Below are 27,130 nucleotides of genomic sequence, written 5' to 3'. Positions count from 1 at the left end.
GTGCTGAGTGATAGAATAAAACTATAAAACAGGAAAAATGCCGTTATGTCAAACCTGACCTTGTAGTAATATAACCTATCTGTGAACTATGGAATAAATAAACAAGATTTTTAACTGATCACACATTGCAAAATACTTATATAACCCTAGTTAAATTGCAAAGCATTTCTCTTATTAAGAAGTGGCCTGGGTAAACAAGTTTTAGTTCATATGTCAGAAGCTTTTTTCCAGCTGTGTGGGTGGGGTTGCTTTATTTTGTTTTGTTTTTTGAACAACAGCAACCAGAATGACAGCCTCTTGACCATATTTTCATAAGCTGATCAATATCAGCTTAAATCTTAGCAGAAAATAGCATATGTTAGTGTGTATGTGTGTGTGCAGAATCCTTGTTAATGAAACAGCTTTGTTTACTATGCTTTGGCTGCTTGCTTCTGCAATTTTTAGATTTCCTTTTTCTTTTTCTTTGTTTTCCTTTCTCCTCTCCCCTCTCTCCTGTCCCCTCTCCCCTCTTTTTCTTTTGCTACAGGGTCTTGCTCCTTGCTCTGTCGCCCAGTCTGGAGTGCAGTGGCAAGATCACTGCTCACGGCAGCCTCCACCTCAGGGGCTCAAGTGATCCTCTCACGATCAGCCTCCCGAATAGCTGGGACTACAGGTGCCTTGCCACCATGCGCGGTTAATTTTTAAATTTTTTTGTAGAGACAGATGCCTTGCTATGTTGCCCATGCTGATCTTGATCTCCTGGTCTCAAGCAAGCCTTGCCTCAGTCTCTCCAAGTTGGGAATACAGATGTGAGACACTTTGACCAGATTTCTTTTTTGATGTTGAAAAATTATTCCATCTCTTCTGACTTATTGATCCCATGTTCAGTTCAATCAAATCAGAAGATATATTTTCTTTTTTCTTTTCTCCCTTTGCTCTTGTATATCATGAGGAAGAGATCAGAGATACATTGTGGATTTTTTCAGTAGCCTGTTGCTTTTTGGGAAATGAGATTAATGAATGGAGGGACATAGGTGGAAATGTACTGTGCTTAGTGAAAGTAAATGTTTTCAGGTCAGAATTCTTTGCTACACTGTCATACCTTCTTTCCTTAGAGCCATTTTAAGGACTAGGGACACCATGCCTATTTCTTTGAGTTTTTTCTACTTTGTATTTTTGCTGGAGTACTAATTTTTTTTTTTTTTTTTTTTTTTTTACAATTCTTGTTAGTTTTGTCAAGATTTTAAAAAATATTTCACTCTTTAACCTTCACTTCAGTTAATCCTTTTTAAAAATAATACTTATTTTTATTTTTCAGACAGGTTCTTGCTCTGTCTCCCAGACTGTAGTGCAATGGTGTAATCACAGCTCACTGTAGCCTTGAACTCCTGAGCTCAAGTGATCTTCCCACCTCAGCCTCCTGAGTATCTGGGTCTACAGACACACACCACCACACCTGGATACATTTTTTAACTTTTTGTAGAAATGGGATCTTGCTATGTTGCCCAGGCTGATCTTGAACTCCTGTCCTCAAGCAATCCTCCCACCTTAGCCTCCTAAACTGCTGGGATTATAGGTGTGAGCCACTGACCCGGCCAAGTTAATCCTTAGGGTTAGTAATAGTGCTTGAACATGTTAATTGTGCTGGTGGCCCTGCAGTGTTTTTCAAGGGGACCACGTTCTTCTGCATTTTTCACTGTGGTGCTGCATTAGAAGAAGAGTAAAATATGGTTGGTACTCTCTAAGAGTTGTGTTGAAGTAATAGTTCTGTGATGATTTTTTTTCTCGAATTGATAATTCTTCATATTCTATCATTTTTCACTAGTTCTACTTATCACTGGCAAGTAGAACTCGGTGGGTAGGTGGTCCATGAAACTTTAGGCTGTTTCTTATCTATGGACTAGACAAGTTTTGTTTTGTTTTTTTTTTGTTTGTTTGTTTGTTTTGAGACAGAGTCTCACTCTGTCGCCCAGGCTGGAGTGCAGTGGTGCTATCTTGGCTCACTGCAAGCTCCGCCTCCCAGGTTCACGCCATTCTCCTGCCTCAGCCTCCCGAGTAGCTGGGACTACAGGTACCCGCCACCACGCCCGGCTAATTTTTTTTTTTGTATTTTTAGTAGAGACAGGGTTTCACCCTGTTAGCCAGGGTGGTCTCGATCTCCTGACCTTGTGATCCGCCTGCCTCGGCCTCCCAAAGTGCTGGGATTACAGGCTTGAGTCACCGTGCCCGGCCCGGACTAGACAAGTTTTGAGGAACACATTTTTTTTCCCCATAGGAGAGGGTCTTGCTCTGTCACTGAGGCTGGAGTGCAGTGACACAATCATGGCTCACTGCAGCCTTGACCTTCTGGGAGCATGTGATCCTCCCACTTCAGCCTCCTGAGTAGGTGGGACCACAGGTGTGCACCACCGTGGCTGGCTAATTTTAAATTTTTTTTAGAGACAGGGTCTTGCTATGTTGCCCAGGCTGGTCTTTAACTCCTGGCCTCAAGTGATCTTCCTGCGTTGGGCACTCCCCAAGAGCTGGGATTATAGGCATGACCACCATGCCCAGCCAAGGTGGAACACTTTTTAAATTGAATGTGTCATTTGTAATGCATTGGCTGAGGGAACAGTTGGGAGGAGATTAGGTATTTGATTTACAATTCCAAATTCAAACTAGAGATGTTGAATGAGTTTGTAGTAAGTGTAGGTTTTTATCTCTCTTGATTCTGGTATTCTCATTAGCAGAGAATTCTTTTTGTGCTATTATGTACAAGTTACTGTGGATGAAGAATGTAGAAGGAAAAGGGTAATACCGTTTGGGTTTGTAAGGCTGTCATTTAGGAAGAAAATTTTTTTTAGCTAATTTTCACCTATATAACTTAGTTTTAACTGCGTCAATTAACACAATTCTTACCTGTTACCTTTATTTACCTTTTTCAGATATGGGAAAATAGGAATTCATGCAATGTAAAGTTAAGATGTCAAGATATTCTTTTATGGCCAGGTGTGGTGGCTCGTGCCTCTAATCCCTTTGGGAGGCCGAGGCAGGCCGATTGCTTGAGCCCAGGAATTTGAGACCAGCCCGGACAACGTGACGAAACCCCTTTACTACAAAAAATACAAAAAATTTTCCGGGCACTGTGGTGCACTTCTATAGTCCCAGCTACTTGGGAGGCTGAGATGGGAGTATCACCTGAGCCTGGAAAGTTGAAGCTGCAGTGAGCTGTGATCATGCCACTGTACTCCAGCCTGGGTGTTGGAGTGAGACCCTGTCCCCCAACAAAAAAAGAGATAGTATTTTATTATATTGCAAAGGCCTTTTTTTTTTTTTTTTTTTTTTTTTGAGACAGGGTCTTACTGTGTCGCCCAGGCTGGAGTGCAATGGCGTGATCTTGGCTCACTGCAACCTCCGCCTCCTGGGTTCAAGCTATTCTCCCGCCTCAGCCTCCCGAGTAGCTGGGATTACAGGCACCTGCCATCACGCCGGCTAATTTTTTATTTTTAATAGAGACAGGGTTTCTCCATGTTGGCCAGGCTGGTCTTGAACTCCTCACCTCAGGTGATCCGCCCACCTTGGCCTCCCAAAGTGCTGGGATTACAGGCGTGAGCCGCCATGCTCCGCCGCCATCTGTTTTTAAGAATGCTGCCTTGGCCGGGCATGGTGGCTCATGCCTGTAATCCTAGCATTTTGGGAGGCCGAAGTGGGCAGATCACCTGAGGTCAGGAGTTCAAGACCAGCCTGGCCAACATGGAGAAACCCTGTCTCTACTAAAAATACAAAAATTAGCCAGGCATGGTGGCAGGTGCCTGTAATCCCAGCTACTCGGGAGGCTGAGGCGGGAGAATCGCTTGAACCTGGAAGGTGGTGGTTGCAGTGAGCTGAGATCGTACCACTGCACTCTAGCCTGGGCGACAGAGTGAGACTCCGTCTAAAAAAAAAAAAAAAAAAAAAAAAACCACGACTGCCTAATATGCCATAATGACTTTAGTAAGTAGACATCAGTGAATCTTCAGGTTGGAAATATGACAACACCTATCATTTTACACTTAAGGAGACAAACCCAGGGAAAGGAGTGGATAATTAAGTTCCTTCTATATGCCAGGCTGCACTTTCCTATTTTGTTGCTAATCTTTATGTCTAGTCTGTAGCAACTGTCTCCAACTTTTCACATAAACTCTTCAAATTTATGTCACTTTTCATAATTTCGTCAATGTATTTTCTTGTTTTAAAGTTTTTATTATTTTAGATAGTGACCGGGTCTCACTATATTGCCCCGGCTGGTCTCAAACTCCTGGGCTCAAGCAATCCTCCTGCCTCGGCCTCCCAGAGTGCCGGGGTTACAGGTGTGAGCCACCCTCTGAGGCCCATTTTATATTTTCCCTCCACGTTTTCATTGTAGTTGAATGGACAAGTAAGTTTATGGATTCAACAGTATACTTAGGGCTGGACATGGTGGCTCATACCTGTAATCCTAGCACTTTGGGAGGCTGATGTAGGTGGATTGCTTGAGCCCAAAAGTTTGAGACCAGCCTGGGCAACGTGGTGAAACCCCATCTGTACAAAAAAATACAAAAAATTAGCAGGGTGTGGTAGCATTCCCTGTAGTCCCAGCTACGTGGGAGACTGAGATGCGAGGATGACCTGAGCCTGGGAGGTTGAGGCTGCAGTGAGCCATGATTGTGCCACTGCATTCCTGTCTGGGTGACTAGGAGACAGAGTGAGACCCTGTCTCAAAAAACACAACAAAACCAGCATACTTAGGATATAAGTTCCATGAGAGCAGAACTTTTGCTTTCCTTGTTTACCAGAGCATTGCAGTGCTTACAGTGGGTGCCTAGTATGTTGGATTAGAGTTCAATGTATGTTTGTGGAATAAAAATGAATGTAAAACCCACTGTTAATATGAAATACCTTTGAAGGGATAAAACTAATTAAGCCATTGACATCATGAATTTGTACTAACTATAATAATATCTAATATTTATTAGTAATACTTACCAGCTGTTCTCATTTAATTTTTATAACAATCGTATTAGGTAAGTATTATTATTCTTGTTTTACAGATGAGGAAACTAAGGCACAGAGAGTGAATAAGTAACTTGTCTGAAGTCACATAGCTACTAGAAGTTAGAGACAGAATTTTATTGTTGGCAGTCCATCTACACAGTCATCATTCTTAATCTCCAAGTTATGATTTTTTCCATTGTGACTTAGAGTCACCTTCCTACTGAAATATAGTACAATGGATATCTTTTGAGAAGGAGGTAGGTGGAGTATTGTCTTTTTTGTAGATGAAAAGGGTGAAATACCACATTAGGCAGCCTGGGGGCAAGGCATTGCTTGGTTGGAGAACCAAGTGCAAGGTGCTAAAAAAAGGAGCTAGAACAGTAGTTTCCAGGCTGAGTGTGGTGGCTCATACCTGTAATCTCAGCACTTTGAGAGGCCAGGGTGAGAGGATTGTTTAAGCCCAGGAGTTGGAGACCAGCCTGAGCAATATAGGGAGACCTTGTCTCCACAAAAATATATATAAAAAAATTAGCTAGATGTGGTGGTGGATGCCTATAGTCCCAACTACTTGGGAGGCTGAGGTGGTGGGAGGATCTCTGAGCTTGCTAGGTCAGGGCTGCAGTGAGCCATGATCATGCCACTGGACTCTAATCTGGTTGACAGAGTGAGCCCCTGTCTCTAGGAAAAAAAAAAAAAAAGGAGTAGTTTCCTAAAATCTTTTCTGTAACATTCTATAATTCTTCATTTTGTTTTGTTTTGTTTTTTTGAGACTGAGTGTCCTTCTGTCACCCAGGCTGGGGTGCAGTGGCACGATCTCAGCTCACTGCAAGCTCCGCCTCCCAGGTTCACGCCATTCTCCTGCCTCATCCTCGCGAGTAGCTGGGACTACAGGCATCCACCACCATGCCCTGCTAATTTTTTGTGTTTTTAGTGGAGATGGGGTTTCACTGTGTTAGCCAGGATGGCCTCGATCTCCTGACCTTGTGATCCGCCCACCTCAGCCTCCCAAAGTGCTGGGATTATAGGCTTGAGCTAGCGCGCCCAGCCTAACATTCTATATTTCTTTCTCCTAGTTCTATGTTTCAATTCTTTAAATACTTTTAAGGGTTTTTTTGAGACAAGGTCCTGTTGTGTCAGCCAGGCTGGAGTGCAGTAGCGTGACCATAGCTTCCTGCAACACCTCCAATTCCTAGGCTCAAGCGATTCTCACTCCTCAGTTTCCTGAATAGTTGGGACCATAGGTATGCACCATCATGCCCAGCTAATTTTTTAATTTTGTAGAGACAGGATCTCGCTATGTTGCCCAGGCTGGTCCTTTTTTTTTTAAATTTTATTATTATTTTTTGAGACGGAGTCTTGCTTTGTCACCCAGGCTGGAGTGCAGTGGCGTGATCTCGGCTCACTGCAACCTCTGCCTCCCGGGTTTAAGCGATTCTCCTGCCTCAGCCTCCTGTAGCTGGGACTACAGGCACGTGCCACCGCGCCTGGCTAATTTTTGTGTTTTTAGTAGAGACGGGGTTTCACCATGTTGGCCAGGATGGTCTCGATCTCCTGACCTCGTGATCTGCCCACCTCGGCCTCCCAAAGTGCTGGGATTACAGGCGTGAGCCACCGCGCCCGGCCTGCCCAGGCTGGTCTTGAACTACTGTCCTCGAGTGATCCTCCTGCTGTTGGCCTCCCAGATTGCTGAGATTACAGGCATGAATCATGCACTGCAGCTTTTAGGATTGTTATTAGAATCCTCTACAAGTTCTTGATACTCCATAATTGAGCCTCTCCTAGAAACTTGGTTTCAGAGACACTGTTGCTAGGTCTTTATCACTGATTGTTCCTTCTTTGTCCTTTTTGCTTATCTTTCTGCTTGTTTCTTTCTCTTGTTCAGTATGCTTCTACTTTTCTCTTCTCACCCTTGAGGCTAGGACTCTTCTTTGAGACAGGGTCTTGACTCTTTTTTGAGACAGGGTCTTGCTATGTTGCCCACGTTGGTCTTGGATTCCTGAGCTCAAATGATCCTCCCACCTCTGCTTCCTGAGTAGCTGGGATTACAAGTGTACACCACAGTGCCCGGCTTGGGGCTAGAACTAAATAGTAAACCAAGCAGTTTCCTTCATTTCTTCCCATTTGCCCACCTACCTGCCTTTCTAGCTGCTTGCCTTCCTACTTCAATTTGACATTCACTTGGTACCTACCATAGTCCTCTTCCCTTTGTATTAGTCCATTCTCACACTGCTATAAATAACTACCTGAGACTGGGTAATTTATGAAGAAAAGAGGTTTAATTGACTCATAGTTCCGCAGGCTGTATGGGAGGCAGGGCTGGGGAGGCCTCAGGAAACTTGGAATCATGGCGGAAGGCGAAGGGGAAGCAAGCATGTCTTCACATGGCTGGCAGGATAGAGGGAGAGAAGGGGAAGGTGCTACACACTTTCAAACAACCAGATCTCTTGAGAACTCTATCATGAGAGAGCATTAGGGGAATGGTGCTAAACCTTTGGAAACCACCCCTATGATCCAATAACCTCCCACCAGACTGCACCTTCAACACTGGGGATTACAATTTGACATGATATTTGGGTGGAGACACACAGAGCCAAACCATATCACCCTTTATTTATCTTTTATGTATAAAAGACTCCAAAAATTTCATTCCTGGCTTCTCACATAAACTACTTTCCTATATTTTTATCTATTTAAAAGATATCTCTCTCTTTTTCTTTTAAAGTTGAGACAGGGTTTTACTATGTTGCCCAGGCTGGTCTTGAAATCCTGGGCTCAAGCATTCCTCCCACTTCAGCAACCTGAGTAGCTGGACTACAGGTGTGTGCCATTGTGCCTGGCTGCATCTCTGTTTGAATAGTTTTTTTTTTTTTTAATTTATAGAAATGAGGTCTCACTGTATTGCCCAGACTGGTCTTGAACTGCTGAGCTCAAGTAGTCCCCCCATCTTGGTCTCCCTAGTAGCTGGGATTATAGGTGTATGACACGATGCCCAGCTCTATTTGAGTAATCTGTTTTTTTTTGTTGTTGTTGTTTTTTTTAAAGACAGAGTCTTTCTGTGTTGCCCAGGCTGGAGTGCAGTGGTGCGATCTTGGCTCACCGCAGCCTCCGCCTCCTAGGTTCAAATGATTTTTGTGCCTCAGCCTCTCGAGTAGCTGGGACTACAGTGTGCCACCACGCCTGGCTAATTTTTTGTATCTTTAGTAGAGATGGGGTTTCACCATGTTGGCCAGGCTGGTCTTGAACTCCCGTCCTCAAGTGATCCACCTGCCTTGGCCTCCCACAGTGCTGGGATTACAAGTGTGAGCCATTGCGCCCAGCCTCTATTTGAATAATCTTTAACATCCTATATATGTATGTACTCACCAGTATTTCCTTTAAATCTGCTGTTCTTCCTACCTTTCTGTATCTTTCATCACTATCACAATTCAGTTTTTCATTTCCCCAGGCTAAGGAACTATAAGTGTTTGGATTTTATTTTTTATGTGTTTATCTGGGTTATTAACTCTTCTCAGGTCTTTTGCCAAATATACGTGTGTGTGTGTGTATATGTATGTGTGTATACATACATATATAAAAGTTATTTAAATCAAAACTATACATCCATATATTAATATTTAAAGACTTAGATAGTTTTATAAAATGTTTGTTACAAAAAAATTATAAGGGAGTCCTCTGCTCCCTTTCTCTCATTTCCTTCTCTCCAGTGGCATCATTTTTATTTCTTTTAACAGAATTCTTTGTTTCTGTTTAAATAAAGTGTCCCAGTGAAAGACATTAGTTTCCAGATCAAAGGGGCTGTGCACACATCAAGGCCCATTATGCTGAAATTTCAGCATCAGATAGAGAATATCCTATAAGCTTCAGAGAGAATAAGATTATTCACATTCAAAAGATTCAGGTATCAGATTGGTCTTTTTTCTCAGTAGTCATGCTGGAAAGTAGAAGACCTTGGAACAGGCTGACTGACCTTGGTGGCTCACGCCTGTAATCCCAGCATTTTGGGAGGCTGAGGCAGGTGGATCACCTGAGGTCAGGAGTTTGGGACCAGCCTGGCCAACATGGTGAAACCCCGTCTCTACTAAAAATACAAAGATTAGTTGGACGTGGTGGTGTGTGCCTGTAGTACCAGCTACTTGGGAGGCTGAGGCAGGAGAATTGCTTGAACCTGGGAAGCAGAGGTTGCAGTGAGCCGAGATCACGCCACTGCACACCAGCCTGGGCAAAAGAGCGAAGACTCTGTCTCAAAAAAAAAAAAAAAAACTTTGGAGTAATGCCTTCAAAATTCTGAGGGAAAATAAATTCTAATTTAGAATTCCATAGCTAGGCAAACTATCAATTAGTGAAATAGAAGAAATATTTTCATACATCCAAGGCATTTCTTACACCCTTTCAGGAATCCACTAGAAGATAGGCTCTACCAGTAGGAGATAGTAAACCAAGAAAGTGGAGATACGAAATATAGGAAATAGGCAGTATAACACAGAAGAAAAATGAAGCATGTAGTATGCATACATTGGTGTTAGTTTTCCTGTTTTCAGTACGGGTCCCTCACTTTCACCTTTACGTCGTGTTCACTAGACTGTAAGACCTTTGATTTATACTCTCCAGAGAGTAAATCTGTCTTTTGACAGAATGGAGAGGGGTAGTTGCCTTGGTTAGAAGGAATAGAGAAAAGGATCTAGGAATCCATCTCTGTAGTAAACAGATGCTGAACTAATTCTCCTTATTTTCACTTCATTCACCCTACCCTGCATACCCAGAGTTACCTGGACTCACCAGCTTCTGAGACTTTGGGGAATTCCATAGCGTAAATTGAGTTGGTTTTCTGCTTTTTCCCTTGTCAGTTTAGGATTTAGTTCTTGTCGATCTCCCAAGGCAATAGTCCATTTTATCTCTAGTTTCAAAAAAATTATTGCTCTTCTTCTCTTATTCTTTCCATCCTTGTGGTTTTATGTCTTGTGTAAAAATTTTTGCTTTTAAAAATTTTTTTCCTGTGTGTGAGTGAAGAGAGAAGAGAGTAGAAATAGATAGATACATTTAATTCACTATCCTTACTCAGAAGTTGCATAGTTTAAAATTTTAGAAGTAACTACCTTTTCGTTGTGCCATCCTCATTTAGGCCTTTATCACCTTGTTTTTTTTATTAATCTTGTCTTCCTACTTCTATTACTTCAAACTTTAAATCTGTCAGATTAATTTTAATTTATATTTTCATCTTGTTACTCAGACTTAAAGTTATATGTTTGTCTTTGTTGAATCTGATCCAGGTGTTTCATCGTGGCATTCAAAGCTTTCTCTTGGTTAGCACTTGACATCTTACCTTTTATAGGTCTTTTTCTTTCTTTTTTTTTTTTTTTTTGATTTAAAGAAAACCATTTTGTTTTCTTCAGGGGCAATTTTTTTTTTACATTCCACCACATATTATTTATATGTTTATCATATTTCTTTTATTTATTTATTTATTTATTTATTTATTTTTTATTATACTTTAAGTTTTAGGGTACATGTGCACATTGTGCAGGTTAGTTACATATGTATACATGTGCCATGCTGGTGCGCTGCACCCACTAACTGGTCATCTAGCATTAGGTATATCTCCCAATGCTATCCCTCCCCCCTCCCCCCACCCCACCACAGTCCCCAGAGTGTGATATTCCCCTTCCTGTGTCCATGTGATCTCATTGTTCAGTTCCCACCTATGAGTGAGAATATGCGGTGTTTGGTTTTTTGATCTTGCGATAGTTTACTGAGAATGATGATTTCCAATTTCGTCCATGTCCCTACAAAGGACATGAACTCATCATTTTTTATGGCTGCATAGTATTCCATGGTGTATATGTGCCACATTTTCTTAATCCAGTCTATCATTGTTGGACATTTGGGTTGGTTCCAATAGGTCTTTTTCTTTACAGCTCTTCACAGTTGCTGTTATGTGTCACCTAATGACACTTTGGTCATCAAAGGACTGCATGTATGATGGTGGTCCCATAAGATTATAATGGAGATGAAAAATTCCTATTGCCCAGTGACATCATAGTTGTCATAAGGTCTTAGCACAACACATTACTTTTTCTATGTTTAGATACATAAATAGTTACCACTGAGTTATAGTTGCCTACAGTATTCAGTATAGTAACATGTTGTACAGGTTGGGAGTAATAGGCTGTTACTGGGAGTAATAGGCTACATATAGGTATGTAGGCTATACACCTACATACCTAGGTGTGTAGTGGCTGTACCATCTAGATTTGTGTAAGTATACTCAATGATATTCACACAATGTTGAAATCTCCTAATGACACATTTCTCAGAACATATCCCTGTTGTTAAGTGATACATAACTGTATTTTCATATCTCCCTTTAGACTTGCTCATGTACTTTTATCTATGTGGAATGCCTTTTTCTTCTTCTTTACTTTTTTTTTTTGAGACGGAGTTTTGCTCTTGTTGCCCAGGCTGGAGTTCAGTGGCTCGATTGGCTCACTGCAACCTCTGCCTCCTGGGTTCAAGCAATTCTCCTATCTCAGCCTCCTGAGTAGCTGGGATTACAGGCGCCTGGTAATTTTTTATATTTTTAGTAGAGACGGGGTTTCACCATGTTGGTCAGGCTGGTCTCGAACTCCTGACCTTAGGTGATCCACCCACCTCGGCCTCCCAAAGTGTTGGGATTACAGGCGTGAGCCACTGTGCCTGGTCTCCTTTACTTTTTTTAAGGCCCAGTTTGATTTACCTTTTTGAAACTTCCCCATGGGCTGGTTGCCTGCCTTCTTTATTTCCTTTAGTTTCCTCTTCATATTGAGCATCTTCTCTGCAAGTACTATGCCAGGCCTTAATTTAAACCAGGATTATCTTCTCTGAATTTACCTGGCACTCTTTTTTTTTTTTTTGAGACAGAGTCTCATTCTGTTGCCCAGGCTGGAGTGCAGTGGCATGATCTCGGCTCACTGCAGCCTTTGCCTCCCAGGCGATTCTCATGCCTCAGTCTCCCAAGTAGCTGGGATTATAGACGTGTACCACCACACCTGACTAATTTTTGTATTTTTAGTAGAGACGGGATTTTGCCGTGTTGGTCAGGCTGGTCTCAAACTTGACCTTAAGTGATCTACCCACCTCAGCCTCCTAAAGTGCTGGGGTTACAGGCATCAGCCACCGTGCCTGGCCTCCATGGTAATCTTTTTTTTTTTTTTTTTTTGAGACGGAATCTTGCTCTGTCACCCAGGCTAGAGTGCAGTGGCACGATCTTGGCTCATTGCAACCTCCGCCTTTTGTGTTCAAGCGATTCTTCTGCCTCAGCCTCCCGAGTAGCTGGGACTACAGGTGTGCGCCACCATGCCTGGCTAATTTTTGTATTTTTAGTAGACACGGAGTTTCACCATATTGGCCAGGCTGGTCTCGAACTCCTGATGTCGTGATCTGCCTGCCTCGGCCTCTCAAAGTGCTAGGATTACAGGTTTGACTCCATGGTACTCTTATATCCTATATAAACGTATTACTAAAAGTATGAACTTTTTTTTTTTTTTTTTTTTTTTTACAGAGGCAGGATCTCACTATGTTGCTCAGGCTAGTTTTGAACTCCTGAGCTCAAGCAATCCTCATGCCTTGACCTCCCAAAGTGCTGGGATTATAGGCATGAGCCACTGCACTTGGCCCTGAACTTTTTTTTTTAATGGAAAAAGTGTTTTTTCTTAGGAAAGTAACATATGCTTACTATTTCAAATTTATAGGCTGAAATAGAAAAATTAGCAGTAACATAAAAATATACTCAGCCTTAATGTATGTTAAACTAACAGTGGTAATTGTTTTTTACCAAGAAAATGACCACAAATTTGAAGGATTCCCAAAACACAGTGCTGTTGGAGGTATGGCTAAATTGATGCAGTGGATGAGGCTTTAAATTGGTATAACCTCCTTGGCAGGTAATGGGCAATCAGAGTTTTAAATGTGTCTACCCTTAGGCCCAGGGAGTCATTTTCAGAAATAATATGGAAGTACTGGCACCTGTGCATGAAGATACACAATGATGTTCCTTGAAACATTATTTATAATAGTGAAGGTTTGAATGTCATAACTATACATTTATAGTACAGAGTACTATGTAACTGTTAAAAAGAATGATCTACGTGTGTATTTATTGCCATAGCAATATATTGTTACGTGGAAGGGAAAAAGTTCAGAATAAGTACATCTGTACTTATGGTGGGGTTATGGCTTGATAAACCCATTGTAAATTGAAAACATCCTAAGTCAAAAATACATTTAATACACTTAACCTATTCTTAGCCTAGACTACCTTAAATGTGTGTGGAATACTTACATTAGCCTGCAGTGGGCAAAATAATCTAACTTAAATTCTACTTTATAATAAAGTACTGGATATTATGTAATTTACAGAACACTGTACATTACACTGAAATTGTAATGGTTTCCCACTATCATAAAGGTGAAAAGCCCTACATGGAACCATTATAAGTCAGGACTGTTTGTATAGTATGACCCTTTTTTTTGGGTAAAAATTACCGAAACCCTGGCTGGGCGTGGTGACTCATGCCTGTAATCAGGCACATACCACATGTATGGCCAATTTTGTTCATTTTTTTTAGAGATAGGGTCTCACTGTGTTGCCCAGGGTGGTCTTGAACTTCTGGACTCAAATGATCCTCCTCCCTCGGCCTTTTAAAGTGCTAGCCTTACAGGTGTAAGCCACCATGTTCAGCCCCACAGTTTCTTTATCCGTTAACCTGTAGATAGACACTTGGGTTGCCCTCACCCTTGACTACTGTTGAATAGTACTTCTGTGAACGTGGGTATACAAATGTTTCTTTGAGACCCTGCTTTCAATTCTTTCAGGTATATACCCAGAGGTGGAATTGCTGGATCATGTGGTAATTCTATTTTTAATTTAATTTTTTTTTTGCGATGTTGTCTTGCTGTGTTTCCCAGCCTGATCTTGGACTCAAGATTCTCCTGCCTCAGACCCCGAGTAGCTGGGACTACAGGTGCGCACCACTGCACCCAGTTTTATTTTTAATTTTTGGAGGCATCTCCATACTGTTTTCTATTGCTGTTACGCCATTTTACATTTCCACTAGCAGTGCATAAGGGTTTTAATTTCTCCACATCCTTGCCAACCCTTTATTTATTTATATATTTTTGGATAATAGTCATCTTAATGAGTAGCAAATGCTTTCTCATTGTGGTTTTGATTTGCATTTCCCTAGCGATTGGTTATGTTGAGCACTTTACATGTATTTATTGGCCATTAGTATATCTTCTTTGTAGAAATGCTTGTTCAAGTTCTTTGCCCATTTTAAAATTGGGTTTGCTTTTTGTTGAGTTGTAGGAGCTCTTTATATATTTTGTTTTATTTTTTATTTGTTTATTTTTTTGAGGCAGAGTCTTTCTCTGTCGCTCAGGCTGGAGTGCAGTGGTGCGATCTTGGTTCACTGCAGTCTCCGCCTCCTGGGTTCAATTAATTCTCCCTGCCTCAGCTTCCCGAGTAGCTGGGATTACAGGTGCCCACCACCATTCCTGGCTAATTGTTGTATTTTTAGTAGAGATGGGATTTCACCATGTTGATCAGGCTGGTCTCGAACTGCTGACCTCAGGTGATATGCCCGCCTTGGCCTCCCAAAGTGCTGGGATTACAGGTGTGAGCCACCGTGCCTGGCCACTCTTTATATATTTTGGATATTCTGTGTTGCATATATGATTCGAAAATTTTTTTTTCTGCTGGGCACGGTGGCTCATGCCTGTAATCCTAGCATTTTGGGAGGCTGAGGTGGGCGGATCACTTGAGGTCAGGAGTTAAAGACCAGCCTGGCCAACATGGTGAAACCCCATCTCTAATAAAAATACAAAAATTAGCCAGGCGTGGTGGTGCGTGCCTGTAATCCCAGCTATTTGGGAGGCTGAGGCTCGAGAATCACTTGAACCCGAGAGTTGGAGGTTGCAGGGAGCCAAGATTGCGCCACTGCACTCCAGCCTGGGCGACAGAGTGAGACTCTAACTCAAAAAAAAAAAAAAAGAATTTTTTTTTTTCTATTCCATGGGTTGCCTTTTCACTCTGTTGGTAGTGTTATTTGATGCACAAAATATTGTACACTATACAGTATGAACTAACAAAAAACAATGAGATGTGTGTAGATAGATATTCATGATGTATATTGAAATGACGAGCAAGTTGAAGATCAGGCCTCCATTTTTTACTAAGAGAAAAATGCACCCTTTTTTTTTTTTTAGACAGGATCTTGCTCTGTTGCCCAGGGTGGAGTGCAGTGGTGCAATCACGACTCACTGCAGCCTCGACTTCCCAGGCTCAAGTGATCCTCCCACATCAACCTCTTGAGTAGCTGGGACTACAGGCATGGGCCACCATGCTGGCTAACTTGTATTTTTTGTACAGATGAGGTTTCACTGTGTTGCAAAGGCTAGTCTCGAACTCCTGGGCTCAAGTGATCTGCCCACCTTGGTCTCCCAAAGCTCTAGGATTCCAGGCATCCGCCACTGTGCCCAGCCTGCACCTCTTTTTGATTACAGAGTTAGGTATATATAAACTGAGATTGAAAAATAAGAGAAAATATACTCAGGGCTGGGCTCAGTGGCTCAAACCTGTAATTCCAGTGCTCTGGGAAGCTGAGGTGGGAGTATTGCTTGAGCTCAGGAGTTTGAGACCAGCCTGGGGAACACAGTGAGACCCTATCTCTACAAAGAAAAAAAAAGAAAAAAAAAATCACCGAGGTGTGGTGGTACCCATCTGTAGTCCCAGCTACTTAGGAAGCTGAGACAGGAGGATCACTGGAGCCCGGGAGGTTGAGGCTGCAGTAAGCCATGATCATGCCACTGTACTCCAGCCTGGGCTGGACAAAGTGAGACCCTGTCTTAAAAAAAAAAAAAAAAAAGTACTCAGCTGTTACTAATGGTTACTGCTGGGGGATGAGATTGAATTGGAAGGAGAGAGGAGAGGTACGGGGGGCAGGAAAGGGAGACAATAATGAGGGACTTTCAGTTTTACTTTACATAATTTTCTTTTAAGTATTGGAATTTAGGTGATTTTTCCTTTGGGGTTTTCTGTATTTTCCAATCACAATAAATAAAATAAGTTATAAATATTTGTTGCATGAATGAAATGTATAAACCCATTTATGTATGTATTTTTTTAAAATTAGTATATTATTAAGTCTATACAATATTAGTATATTGTTATGTATGTATAAGCTTTTTAACATGAAGTTTGCAGAATATAGTACTTCTTCCAAACTCTATGACATGGGGGGAACTGAAGTATGGGGATATCTTGTACCAGTGTAAGAATTCAAGAAGAGACCGTGTGTGGTGGCTCATGCCTATAATCCCAGCACTTTGGGATGCCAAAGCAGGATGATCTCTTGGAGCTAGGCGTTCAAGACCAGCCTGGGCAACATATCAAGACCCCATCTCTAAAAAAAAAAAAAAAAATTAACTGGGTGTGGTAGTGCGGGCCTATAGTCCTAGCTATTCCAGAAGCTGAGGTGGGAGGATTGCTTGAGCCCAGGAGTTTGAGGCTGTAGTGACCTATACCAGTGATTATACCAGTGCACTCTAGCCCAGGCAACAGAGTGAGACCTGGTCTCAAAAAAAAAAAAAAAAATCAAGAAGAGCAATCTGGATATGAGCATTTGGGATTTTTAGCAAACTGCTGAGATTTTGTCTATAGCTTGAACCTTTCTTTTAGCTAACTTGATGATACTGATGATAAGCAAGGACTGTCTTTTTAAAAATGTTTACTTCATTATTTTCCTGACAGAAATGACATCAGATGTACCATCACTGGGTCCAGCCATTGCCTCTGGAAACTCTGGACCTGGAATTCAAGGTGGAGGAGCCATTGTCCAGAGGGCTATTAAGCGGCGACCAGGGTGAGTTTGAGTGTAGTGTGTTATGAATATCTCTCCTATAAACCAACTTTAGTTGCTGAATTTATTTAGTTGCTGAACTCACTTCGCTATTCCTGACCATCTCACTTCAACTTGATTACTTACTACACTACTGTCATATAAGTCTCCTTAGTCCCTGTATTTTTGTTTATGAAGAATTTGTTTTTATCCAAGTTTCCCGTAAGCAGTTCTTTTTTTAAACCAAAATTTCCGTAAGATAAAGGACTGTAGCTAAGCCCAGAGATTTTACTATGCCTGAGAAAACTGTTTGCTGCTTTCATTAAGCTTTGTTTCTGTTTTCCCAAAATCATTTTGGTAGGCTGCTTTTCTGAATTTAGAGAATGCTGAGCTCTAGAATAGCTGTCTTCTAAGTTATTGATATGTTGCTTGGTTTGGAATGCAGAGTCCATTCAGCTCCAAAAGTATTTATTAAATTCCTAATTAGTGTTATGGCATTGTGCTGATTCCAAGTAGGATACAAAGATGAATAAGACACAGTCCTTGTTTCTAAGTTGGTTGTGTTCTGATAGAAATAATTATTATACACATGAATATATGATAGAATATGCCTAGTTTTGTTAGGAACAAATTTGATACTATGTTTTTCTGTGTATGGAAATATGCATTTGTTGGTAAAGACTGAGAAAAGCTTCAGAAAGGAGGTTGCCTTAGAGGGGCCTGGAAGAATGGGCACTATTTTATTTACTTTTTGGTATTAAATTTTCCTTTTTCCTTCTTTTTCTTTTTAAAAATTGTGCAGCTAATTATAACCAGTCTTTAAGTTTTGTCCCACCAATAGTAATGGAAGAGTGATGCTTGGGTTCAGTGGTAACATGAGTAACATATTAAGACTTGTTATATGTTCAGTAGCTTTACAGATTTTAACCATTTGCTGAAGCATAAGCTGAATAAGTAACTTTCTAAGATTGTAAAGCTAGTAAGTGTCAGATATAGGATATGAACCTTAGGGGTTTAGCTTTGTAGCTTACTCTTTAAACACTGTGTTATGTTTATGTACAGTAACAAACAAAAGTATTATAAATATCAAAATTAGGGCATCACTTGAGAAAGTCATAGTATATTTAAAATGGAATGCTATGTAGTTATAAGCGACAAATATGTTTCAGTGTAGAAAGATGTTCACAATCTATTAAGAAAGGTTACAGTATTATAGTATTTCACTGTCAAAAGATATGTATAACATGTACATAGGAAAAAACTGAAAGAATATATACCACATTTCTGGGTAATAGTATTATGGGTGACTTACGGTTTCTTTTGTTTTTGATTTTTCAGATTTTTGAAATGAACATGTATGATTGGTAATCAGAAAAATATATTAAAGGAAGTCTTTAAAAATTTTCTTTTTGGTTTTTTTAGAGACAGGGTCTTGTACCCTGGCTGGAGTGCAGAGGCACAATCATGGCCCACTGCAGCCTCAAACTCCTGCTCAAGCAGTCCTCCTGCCTTGGCCTCCCAAAGTACTGGGATTACAGGCGTGAGCCACTTCACCTGTCCTAAAAGAAGTCTTTTAATATTTCTTTTATTTTTATTTACTTATTTATTTTCGAGGCAGAGTCTTGCTCTTTTGCCAGGCTGGAGTGCAGTGGTGTGATCTTGGCTCACTGCAATCTCCACCTCTCTGGTTCAAGGGATTCTCCTGCCTCAGCCTCCCAAGCAGCTGGGACTACAGGCGTGCGCCACCACGCCCAGCTAATTTTTGTATTTTTAGTAGAGATGGGATTTCACCACGTTGGCCAGGCTGGTCTCGAACTCCTGACCTCAGGTGATATGCCCACCTTGGCCTCCCAAAGTGCTGGGATTACAGGCATGAGCCACCATGCCCGGCCTAATATTTCTTTTATTTATTTATTTTATTTTTTATTTTTTTGAGATGGAGTCTCGCTCTGTCGCCCAGGCTGGAGTGCAGTAGTGTGATCTCAGCTCACTGTAACCTCCACCTCCCAGGTTCACGCCATTCTCCTGTCTCAGCCTCCCGAGTAGCTGGGACTACAGGCGCCCGCCATGATGCCCGACTAATTTTTTTGTATTTTCAGTAGAGACGGGGTTTCACCGTGTTAGCCAGGATGGTCTCGATCTCCTGACCTCGTGATCCACCCGCCTTGGCCTCCCGAAGTGCGGGATTACAGGCACGAGCCACTGCACCCGGCCCATATTTCTTTTAAAGAAAGATTGGAAAATACAGAAAGTTAGAAAGAACAATAAAAAGGCCAAAATCTACTACCATGTTTTTTAGTGCATGTCCTTCAGTCTTTATATGTAAATTGTTTTTAATAGTTATGTAATTATATAGTTTTACATGGCCTAGTCTTTTCACCTTATATAAATAATAAGCAATACACACGCACACACACATTTTGGCACCTTATATAAATAATAAGCAATACACACACACACACATTTCGGAGACAGAGTCTTGCTCTGTTGCCCAGGCTGGAGTGCAGTGGCATGATCATGGCTCATTGTAGCCTCAACTTCTTGGGCCCAGGAAGCAATCCTCCTACTTCAGTTCTCCGAGTAGCTGGGACCACAGGCACATGGCACCATACCTGGCTATTTTTTTTTTTTTTTTTAAAGACATGGTCTCACTACGTTGACCAGGCTGGTCTAAAACTCCTAGGCTCAAGCAGCCCTCCCATCTCGACGTCCTAAAGTGTTGGGATTACAGACATGACCTACTGTACCTGGCCCTTTAAAAAAATATTGTTACATATTCTATATAAACATAATTTTTATTTATTTTTTTTTGAGACGGAGTCTCGCTTTGTTGTCCAGGCTGGAGTGCGGTGATGCGATCTTGGCTCACTGCAAGCTCCGCCTCCTGGGTTCATGCTATTCTCCTGCCTCAGCCTCCCGAGTAGCTGGGACTACAGGCGTCCACCACCACGTCTGGCTAATTTTTTTTTTTTTTGTATTTTTAGTAGAGACGGGGTTTTACCATATTAGCCAGGATGGTCTCCATCTCCTGACTTCGTGATCCGCCTGCCTTGGCTTCTCAAAGTGCTGGGATTACAGGCATGAGCCACTGCGCACAGCCATAAACATAATTTTTAATGGTTGCGTGAAAGGATGTACTTAACTTCCTATTTTGGGACATCTAAATTGTTTTGAAGATTTTGCTGTTACATATGATGCTAAAAAGAACTTCTTTGTACCTAAACTTTTTTTTCCTATTTCATATTATTTCTTTAGATTCTTAGAAATAGAGTTATTGGGCTGAGCACGGAGGCTCATACCTGTAGTGCCAGCACTTTGGGAGGCTGAGGTAGGAGGATTACTTGAGCCCAGGAATTCAAGACCAGCCTGGGGAAAATGGCGAGACTTTTTTTTCTTTGACTTAGCAATTATCTTTCTTTTCCTTCCTTCCTTCATTTTTTTCCTTTGACTTAGCAATTACCTTTCCCTCCCTCCTTCCCTCTCTTTCCCCTTCCCTTTTTTTTTTTTTTTTTTTTGAGATGTAGTTTCGCTCTTGTTGCCTAGGCTGGAGTGCAGTGGCGCAATTTTGGCTCACTGCAACCTCTGCCTCCCGGGTTCAGGCAATTCTCATGCCTCAGCCTCCCGAGTAGCTGGGATTACAGGTGCCCGCCACCACACCCAGCTAATTTTTGTATTTTTAGTAGAGACGAGGTTTCACCATGTTGACTGGGCTGGTCTTGAACTCCTGACCTCAAGTGATCCGCCTGCCTCAGCTTCCCAAAGTGCTGGGATTGCAGATGTGAGCCACAGTGGCTGGCCCCTTTTCTTTTTTGAGACAGGGTCTTGCCATGTCACTGAGGTTGGAGTGCAGTGGCCCAATCTCAGCTCACTGCAGCCTTGACCTCCCAGGCTCAAGGCCTGCAGCCCCTCCCGCCCCCCCAACCCAAGTAGCTAGGACTACACATGCGCCACCATGCCTGGTTAGTTTTTGTATGTTTTGTAGAGACGGGATTTCACCGTGTTGCCCAGGCTGGTCTTAAACTCCTGAGTTCAAGTAGTCTGCTCGCCTTGGCCTCCCAAAGTGCGTGGACTACAGGTGTGAGCAACCATGCCTGGCTGAGATTTTTTAAAATAAAAAAATTTAGTTGAGTGCAGTGGTGGGCTCCTATAGTTCCAGCTAATTGGGAGGCCAAGATGGGAGGATCCCTTGAGCCCAGGAGCTCAAGGTGGCAGTGAGCTATGATCATGCCACTGTACTCCAGCCTGAGTAACAGAGTGAGAGCTTGTCTCTTAAAAAGAAAGAAAGGAAGAGATAGAGAGAAAGAAAGAATTTGAGTTACTGGGTAGATAGATAGGATTTTACAGGTGACCAGATTAGGGGATTCAGGAAGGAGGAAGAGGAGCAAACACTTTCAGGATTGATGCTGTATGTGTACTTCAAATGCGACCCATCTAGAGGCCCATAATATCAAGGTATCCCAATAGTAGAAGTAAAAAGAGTGATCACTAGGTTAAGGTGGTAACATGAGCAATATTTTAGTTCAATAGTGTACAGAGATTATAAGGGGATTGGTCTATTTTATTGTTTATAATCTTTCCTAATCTCCTTTAAAGAAATTCACTTCTTCTTTCCCTGAATGTCTGTAGCATGTTGATTGTACCCCTTATGTGACACTTTCCTATTCTCACTTGTTTTATATTTGTATTTCTCTAGGTGAAGAGCCCCTTGAGGGCAAGGTTCTTGTTTTTACCTCACCTAGCACAGTGTCTTGAATGAAGTATATATTACATGTTTATTAGATCAATGAAGGAAAGAAACATTATCTAACAATCTTCGTAGGTATTAAGTCACTCCTTTATGTAAGATCACTGCTTTGAAAGATGTTTCAGAAATTTGGTAACACGGCTTAGAGCAGACTCTAGAAATGAAACATGGACCTGAATTATTTACGTTAATTTTTTCTTATTTTTTCTGAGTGGATTCCTGCTCCCTTTACAGAGGTTGTAGTCTGATTGAAAACTCTGGCAAAGATTGACTGCTACTCTAGGAAAGTGTTAAGGTAGCAGAAGGTACTTTTGTTTCTATTGCCCAGTTTTGTACTTTTTTTTTTTGAGATGGAGTCTTGCAGTTGTCGCCCAGGCTTGAGTGCAATGGTGCGATCTTGGCTCACTGAAACCTCCACCTCCCGGGTTCCAGCAATTCTCCTGCCTCAGCCTCCTGAGTAGCTGAGATTACAGGCACCCGCCACCATGCCCAGCTAATTTTTGTATTTTTAGTAGAGATGGGGTTTCAGCATGTTGGCCAGGCTGATCTCGAACTCCTGACCTCAGGTGATCCACCCACCTCAGCCTTCCAAAGTGCTGGGATTACAGGCGTGAGCCACCACTCCTGGCCCCAGTTTTGTACTTCTTTGCCTAGTTTGGGACTATGAACAAGAGGAAATGTAGCTTTGTTTGACTTCTGCCACTTCCTCTTTCCATTCTTCCATTTGGGTGGGTGTTCCGGTAGCTTGTGTTGAGAAATTTTAACTTCTTAATGTTTTGTATTATCAGCAGGCTTAAAGTATTTATTGTTGGCTTTCCTCAGGCTGGATTTTGATGATGATGGAGAAGGGAACAGTAAATTTTTGAGGTAAGAGACTGAAAAACTTTCCTTAGATGTCTGATATTAAAAATTAGTTTATGATCTTTATACTTCTGACTTGTAAATTTTTGTCCTTAGGTCTAAGGAGAGTACTTCATCCTAAAACTATAAATATTCATATATCTCAGAAAATTTTTAAGCATTCCGTTAATATCTCTAGAGAAAGGACCTCAGTGAGGAGAGGACGGCATTTACAAACCCTCTGTATCAGTTCTCTGCTACTTCATAGCCTAAAAAGAACAACAGTTCGTTATTTCTCAATTCTGTGGATTGACTGCATGTTTATTCTGCTTATCTCACCTAGACTCACTCATAAGACTGCATTCTCAGCTGGTCAGCTGAGAACTGGACTCAGCTGGGATGGCTGGGTATTTCTGTCTATGTGTTTTTTTATCCTCAAGGAGGCCAGACTGAATTTTTTCATGTGGTGATGGCTACAATCTACAGCACAAATCCCAGTGTGCAAGTGCTTATCAAGCCTCTGCTTATATGACATTTGCTTATGTCCCATTGGCCAAAGCAAGTCATATGTTCCAGGTGTGAGTGTGTGAGGGGGTTACACAAGGAAGTACATACTGAGAGGTGTAATTCATTGGTTGAGGTGTCATTAATCTGTGACTCTGTCATACCCTCTGACACCTGTTGACACCTCTTATAGGTAGCAGGAATTGGAATTTGTATTTTTTGTTTTTGTTTTTTTTTTTTTTGAGACGGAGTCTTGCTCTGTCGCCAGGAGTGCAGTGGTGCAATCTCGGCTCACTGCAACCTCCGCCTCCTGGGTTCTAGCGATTCTCCTGCCTCAGCCTCCCAAGTAGCCGGGACTACAGGTGCGTGCCACCATGCCCAGCTAATTTTTGTATTTTTATTTTTTTATTTTTTATTAATTTTCTTTTTTATTGATCATTCTTGGGTGTTTCTCGCAGAGGGGGATTTGGCAGGGTCATAGGACAATAGTGGAGGGAAGGTCAGCAGATAAACAAGTGAACAAAGGTCTCTGGTTTTCCTAGGCAGAGGACCCTGCGGCCTTCCACAGTGTTTGTGTCCCTGGGTACTTGAGATTAGGGAGTGGTGATGACTCTTAATGCGCATGCTGCCTTCAAGCATCTGTTTAACAAAGCACATCTTGCACCGCCCTTAATCCATTTAACCCTGAGTGGACACAGCACATGTTTCAGAGAGCACTGGGTTGGGGGTAAGGTCATAGATCAACAGCATCCCAAGGCAGAAGAATTTTTCTTAGTACAGAACAAAATAGAGTCTCCTATGTCTACTTCTTTCTACACAGACACAGCAACAATCTGATTTCTCTATCTTTTCCCCACATTTCCCCCTTTTCTATTCGACAAAACCGCCATCGTCATCATGGCCCGTTCTCAATGAGCTGTTGGGTACACCTCCCAGACGGGGTGGCGGCCGGGCAGAGGGGCTCCTCACTTCCCAGAAGGGGTGGCCGGGCAGAGGCGCCCCCCACCTCCCGGACGGGGCGGCGGCTGGGCGGAGGCGCCCCCACCACCCTCCCGGATGGGGCGGCTGGCCGGGCGGGGGCTGGCCCCCGCCTCTCTCCTGGACGGGGTGGCTGGCCAGGCGGGGGCTGCCCCCCACCTCCCGGACGGGGCGGCTGCCGGGCGGAGATGCTCCTCACTTCCCGGACGGGGCGGCTGCGGGGCGGAGGGGCTCCTCACTTCTCAGACGGGGCGGCTGCCGGGCGGAGGGGCTCCTCACTTCTCAGACGGGGTGGCTGCCGGGCAGAGGGGCTCCTCAATTCTCAGACGGGGCGGCTGCCGGGCGGAGGGGCTCCTCACCTCCCAGACGGGGTCGTGGCCGGGCAGAGGCGCTCCTCACCTCCCAGACGGGGTGGCGGGGCAGAGGCGCTCCCCACATCTCAGAGGATGGGCTGCGGGGCAGAGACCCTCCTCACTTCCTAGACGGGATGGCGGCCGGGAAGAGGCGCTCCTCAGTTCCCAGACTGGGCAGCCGGGCAGAGGGGCTCCTCACATCCCAGACGATGGGCGGCCAGGCAGAGATGCTCCTCACTTCCCAGACGGGGTGGCGGCCAGGCAGAGGCTGCAATCCTGGCACTTTGGGAAGCCAAGGCAGGCGGCTGGGAGGTGGAGGTTGTAGCGAGCCGAGATCACGCCACTGCACTCCAGCCTGGGCAACATTGAGCACTGAGTGAACGAGACTCAGTCTGCAATCCCGGCACCTCGGGAGGCCGAGGCTGGCGGATCACTCACGGTTAGGAGCTGGAGACCAGCCCGGCCAACCCAGCGAAACCCCGTCTCCACCAAAAAAATACGAAAACCAGTCAGGCGTGGCGGCGCGCGACTGCAATCGCAGGCACTCGGCAGGCTGAGGCAGGAGAATCAGGCAGGGAGGTTGCAGTGAGCGGAGATGGCAGCAGTACAGTCCAGCTTCGGCTCGGCATCAGAGGGAGACCGTGGAAAGAGAGGGAGAGGGAGACCGTGGGGAGAGGGAGACCGTGGGGAGAGGGAGATGGAGAGGGAGAGGGCTAATTTTTGTATTTTTAGTAGAAACAGGGTTTCACCATGTTGGGCAGGATGGTCTCGATCTCTTGACCTCGTGATCCGCCCTCCTCGGCCTCCCAAAGTGCTGGGATTACAGGTGTGAGGAATTTGTATTTTTGAGTTGTTAATATTCTGGAGCTTTTAAAATGGACTATTTATTTGTTTGTTTTTTTGAGACAGAGTCTTCCTCTGTTGCCCAGGCTGGAGTGCAGTGCTGCAGTCTTGGCTCACTACAACTTCTGCCTTCCAGGTTCAAGCGATTCTAGTGCCTCAGCCTCCTGAGTAGCTGGGACTACCACACCTGGCTAATTTTTGTATTTTTAGTAGAGACGGGGTTTCACCATGTTAGCCAGACTGGTCTTGAACTCTTGGCCTTAAGTGGTCCACCTGCCTCAGCTTCCCAAAGGGCTGGGGTTATAGGCATAAGCCACCATGTCCAGCCTATTTTCTTCTTATTTTTTTGAGACAGGGTCTTACTCTGTCACCCAGACTGGAGTGCAGTGGCACAGTCTCGGCTCACTACAGCCTCGAACTCCAGGGCTCAAGCGATCCTCCCACCTCAGTCTCCCAAGTAGCTGGGTCTACAGGTGTGAGCCATAATACCTGGCTAATTTTAAAATGATGTTGCCCAGGCTGGTCTTAAACTCCTGTGCTCAAGCAATCCTCCCACCTTGGCCTTCCAAAGTGTTGGGATTACAGGCATGAGCCACTGTACCCGGCCTGAAAATGGACCTTTTAATATATTGATGAAGGAGTTCTTTCAGAAAAGGGGGATATTCTTGCTGAAGACCAATTGCTTGTCTTCTTTTCAAGTAAGAAAAACAGTAAGACTCAAAAGGAAGAGAACTTTGACCGCAATCTGCTTTTTTTCTTTCCAGAGTTGAAAATATTACCCAGGTAGTCTGTACGTTGCTGAGTAACAGACAATTTGATAAAGGAGCCCAATGAAAAAAAAATGATTTGATTGTGTGGGTGCCCAGATTTAATATCATTTATTTATTTTCTTTCTTTCTTTTTTTTTGAGACTGATTTTCACTCTTGTTGCCCAGGCTGGAGTGCAATGGTATGATCTCGGCTCACCGCAACCTCTGCCTCCCAGGTTCAAGCGATTCTCCTGCCTCAGCCTCCCGAGTAGCTGGGATTACAGGCATGCACTACCATGCCCGGCTAATTTTGTATTTTTAGTAGAGATGGGGTTTCTCCATGTTGGTCAGGCTGGTCTTGAACTGCCGACCTCAGGTGATCCGCCCACCTCGGCCTCCCAAAGTGCTGGGATTATAGGCATGAGCCACCACACCCGGCCCATTTCTTTTTCTTATTTGTTTGTTTTGTTAACTAAGTTTTTTCTTTAATTGGGAAAGTAATATAAGTGTATTTTATTACAGAAATTTCAGGCTGGGCCTGGTGGCTTACACCTGTAATCCCAGCACTTTAGGAGGCTGAGGTGGGTGGATCGCTTAAGCTCTGGAATTCAGGACCAGTCTGGGCAACATGGCAAAACTCCATCTGTACAAAAAATGTTACAAAAATTAGCTGGAAGTGCTGGTGTGTGCCTGTAGTCTCAGCTACTCGGGAAGCTGAGGTGGGAGGGTGGTTTGAGTCCTGGAAGCAGAGATTGCAGTGAGCCGAGGTTGCGCCACTGCTCTCCAACCTGGGCGACCTTGCCTCAAAAAAGAAAAACAACAAAATTTCAAACAGTGCAGAGTTATATATAGTGAAAGCACATCTTCGTTTTACTTTGGACCTTCAGAACTCCTTTTTTTTTTTTTGAGAGGAGTCTCGCTCTTGTTGCCCACGTTGGAGTGCAGTGGTTCGATCTCTGCTCATTGCGTCCTCCGCCTCCTGAGTTCAAGCTATTCTCCTGCCTCAGCCTCCTGAGTAGCTGGGATTACAGGCGCCTGCCACCATGCCCGGCTAATTTTTGTACTTTTAGTAGCGACAAGGTTTCGCCATGTTGGCCAGGCTGGTCTCAAACTCCTGATCCACTCGGCTCGGCCTCCCAAAGTGCTGGGATTACAAGTGTGGGCCACTGCCCCCAGCCTGGACCTTCAAAACTCTTTAGACAACTACAGTTTCCAGTTTGTTGAGTATCCTTCCAAAAATAGTATATATAGAATTGTATATAAATGTGTATGTGTGAG

The 27,130-nt window shown here is 43.3% G+C and overlaps 1 protein-coding gene across 38 annotated transcripts in view, besides 8 other annotated features; it reads left to right on the top strand.

Moving 5' to 3' along the window:
• Nucleotides 1-27,130, top strand: part of ARNT (aryl hydrocarbon receptor nuclear translocator) — a 66,887-nt gene that overhangs the window by 1,386 nt on the left and 38,371 nt on the right. For 17 of the 38 annotated variants that reach the window (XM_047420740.1, XM_047420734.1, XM_047420716.1 and 14 more), the window contains exons 2-3: nt 16,754-16,865; nt 22,408-22,452. In XM_047420740.1, the coding sequence (XP_047276696.1) occupies nt 16,754-16,865; nt 22,408-22,452 (157 nt within the window). Of the gene's footprint in view, nt 1-13,818; nt 13,854-13,911; nt 13,968-16,753; nt 16,866-18,183; nt 18,206-22,373; nt 22,453-27,130 lie in introns of those variants that run through there. The other 21 variants (XM_047420697.1, XM_047420694.1, XM_017001293.2 and 18 more) reach the window with 7 other exon arrangements.
• Nucleotides 50-549: an enhancer, noted in NCBI's record as "H3K4me1 hESC enhancer chr1:150847141-150847640 (GRCh37/hg19 assembly coordinates)". NCBI's record gives its function as "activates a minimal SCP1, AML or CMV promoter by ChIP-STARR-seq in naive H9 embryonic stem cells {active_cell/tissue: H9 hESC(naive)}" and the evidence as "EXISTENCE:reporter gene assay evidence [ECO:0000049][PMID:30033119]".
• Nucleotides 550-1,051: an enhancer, noted in NCBI's record as "H3K4me1 hESC enhancer chr1:150846639-150847140 (GRCh37/hg19 assembly coordinates)". NCBI's record gives its function as "activates a minimal SCP1, AML or CMV promoter by ChIP-STARR-seq in naive H9 embryonic stem cells {active_cell/tissue: H9 hESC(naive)}" and the evidence as "EXISTENCE:reporter gene assay evidence [ECO:0000049][PMID:30033119]".
• Nucleotides 20,787-20,931: an enhancer, noted in NCBI's record as "145 bp 1:150826831 sequence used in MPRA reporter constructs". NCBI's record gives its function as "activates a minimal TATA-containing promoter with rs11582281 allelic activity by MPRAs in C283T melanocytes and UACC903 melanoma cells {active_cell/tissue: C283T | UACC903}" and the evidence as "EXISTENCE:reporter gene assay evidence [ECO:0000049][PMID:36423637]".
• Nucleotide 20,859: a transcriptional cis regulatory region, noted in NCBI's record as "rs11582281 or 1:150826831 MPRA-significant variant associated with a GWAS melanoma risk locus at 1q21.3". NCBI's record gives its function as "allelic transcriptional activity by MPRAs in C283T melanocytes and UACC903 melanoma cells {active_cell/tissue: C283T | UACC903}" and the evidence as "EXISTENCE:reporter gene assay evidence [ECO:0000049][PMID:36423637]".
• Nucleotides 22,107-22,251: an enhancer, noted in NCBI's record as "145 bp 1:150825511 sequence used in MPRA reporter constructs". NCBI's record gives its function as "activates a minimal TATA-containing promoter with rs10305673 allelic activity by MPRAs in UACC903 melanoma cells {active_cell/tissue: UACC903}" and the evidence as "EXISTENCE:reporter gene assay evidence [ECO:0000049][PMID:36423637]".
• Nucleotide 22,179: a transcriptional cis regulatory region, noted in NCBI's record as "rs10305673 or 1:150825511 MPRA-significant variant associated with a GWAS melanoma risk locus at 1q21.3". NCBI's record gives its function as "allelic transcriptional activity by MPRAs in UACC903 melanoma cells {active_cell/tissue: UACC903}" and the evidence as "EXISTENCE:reporter gene assay evidence [ECO:0000049][PMID:36423637]".
• Nucleotides 24,025-24,677: an enhancer, noted in NCBI's record as "H3K27ac-H3K4me1 hESC enhancer chr1:150823013-150823665 (GRCh37/hg19 assembly coordinates)". NCBI's record gives its function as "activates a minimal SCP1, AML or CMV promoter by ChIP-STARR-seq in naive H9 embryonic stem cells {active_cell/tissue: H9 hESC(naive)}" and the evidence as "EXISTENCE:reporter gene assay evidence [ECO:0000049][PMID:30033119]".
• Nucleotides 24,678-25,331: an enhancer, noted in NCBI's record as "H3K27ac hESC enhancer chr1:150822359-150823012 (GRCh37/hg19 assembly coordinates)". NCBI's record gives its function as "activates a minimal SCP1, AML or CMV promoter by ChIP-STARR-seq in naive H9 embryonic stem cells {active_cell/tissue: H9 hESC(naive)}" and the evidence as "EXISTENCE:reporter gene assay evidence [ECO:0000049][PMID:30033119]".

Source organism: Homo sapiens, chromosome 1 (genome assembly GCF_000001405.40).
Source record: "Homo sapiens chromosome 1, GRCh38.p14 Primary Assembly".
Taxonomy (NCBI): domain Eukaryota; kingdom Metazoa; phylum Chordata; class Mammalia; order Primates; family Hominidae; genus Homo; species Homo sapiens.
The sequence above is the reverse complement of the archived record's forward strand: the minus strand, read 5'-3'. Positions and strand labels throughout refer to the sequence as shown.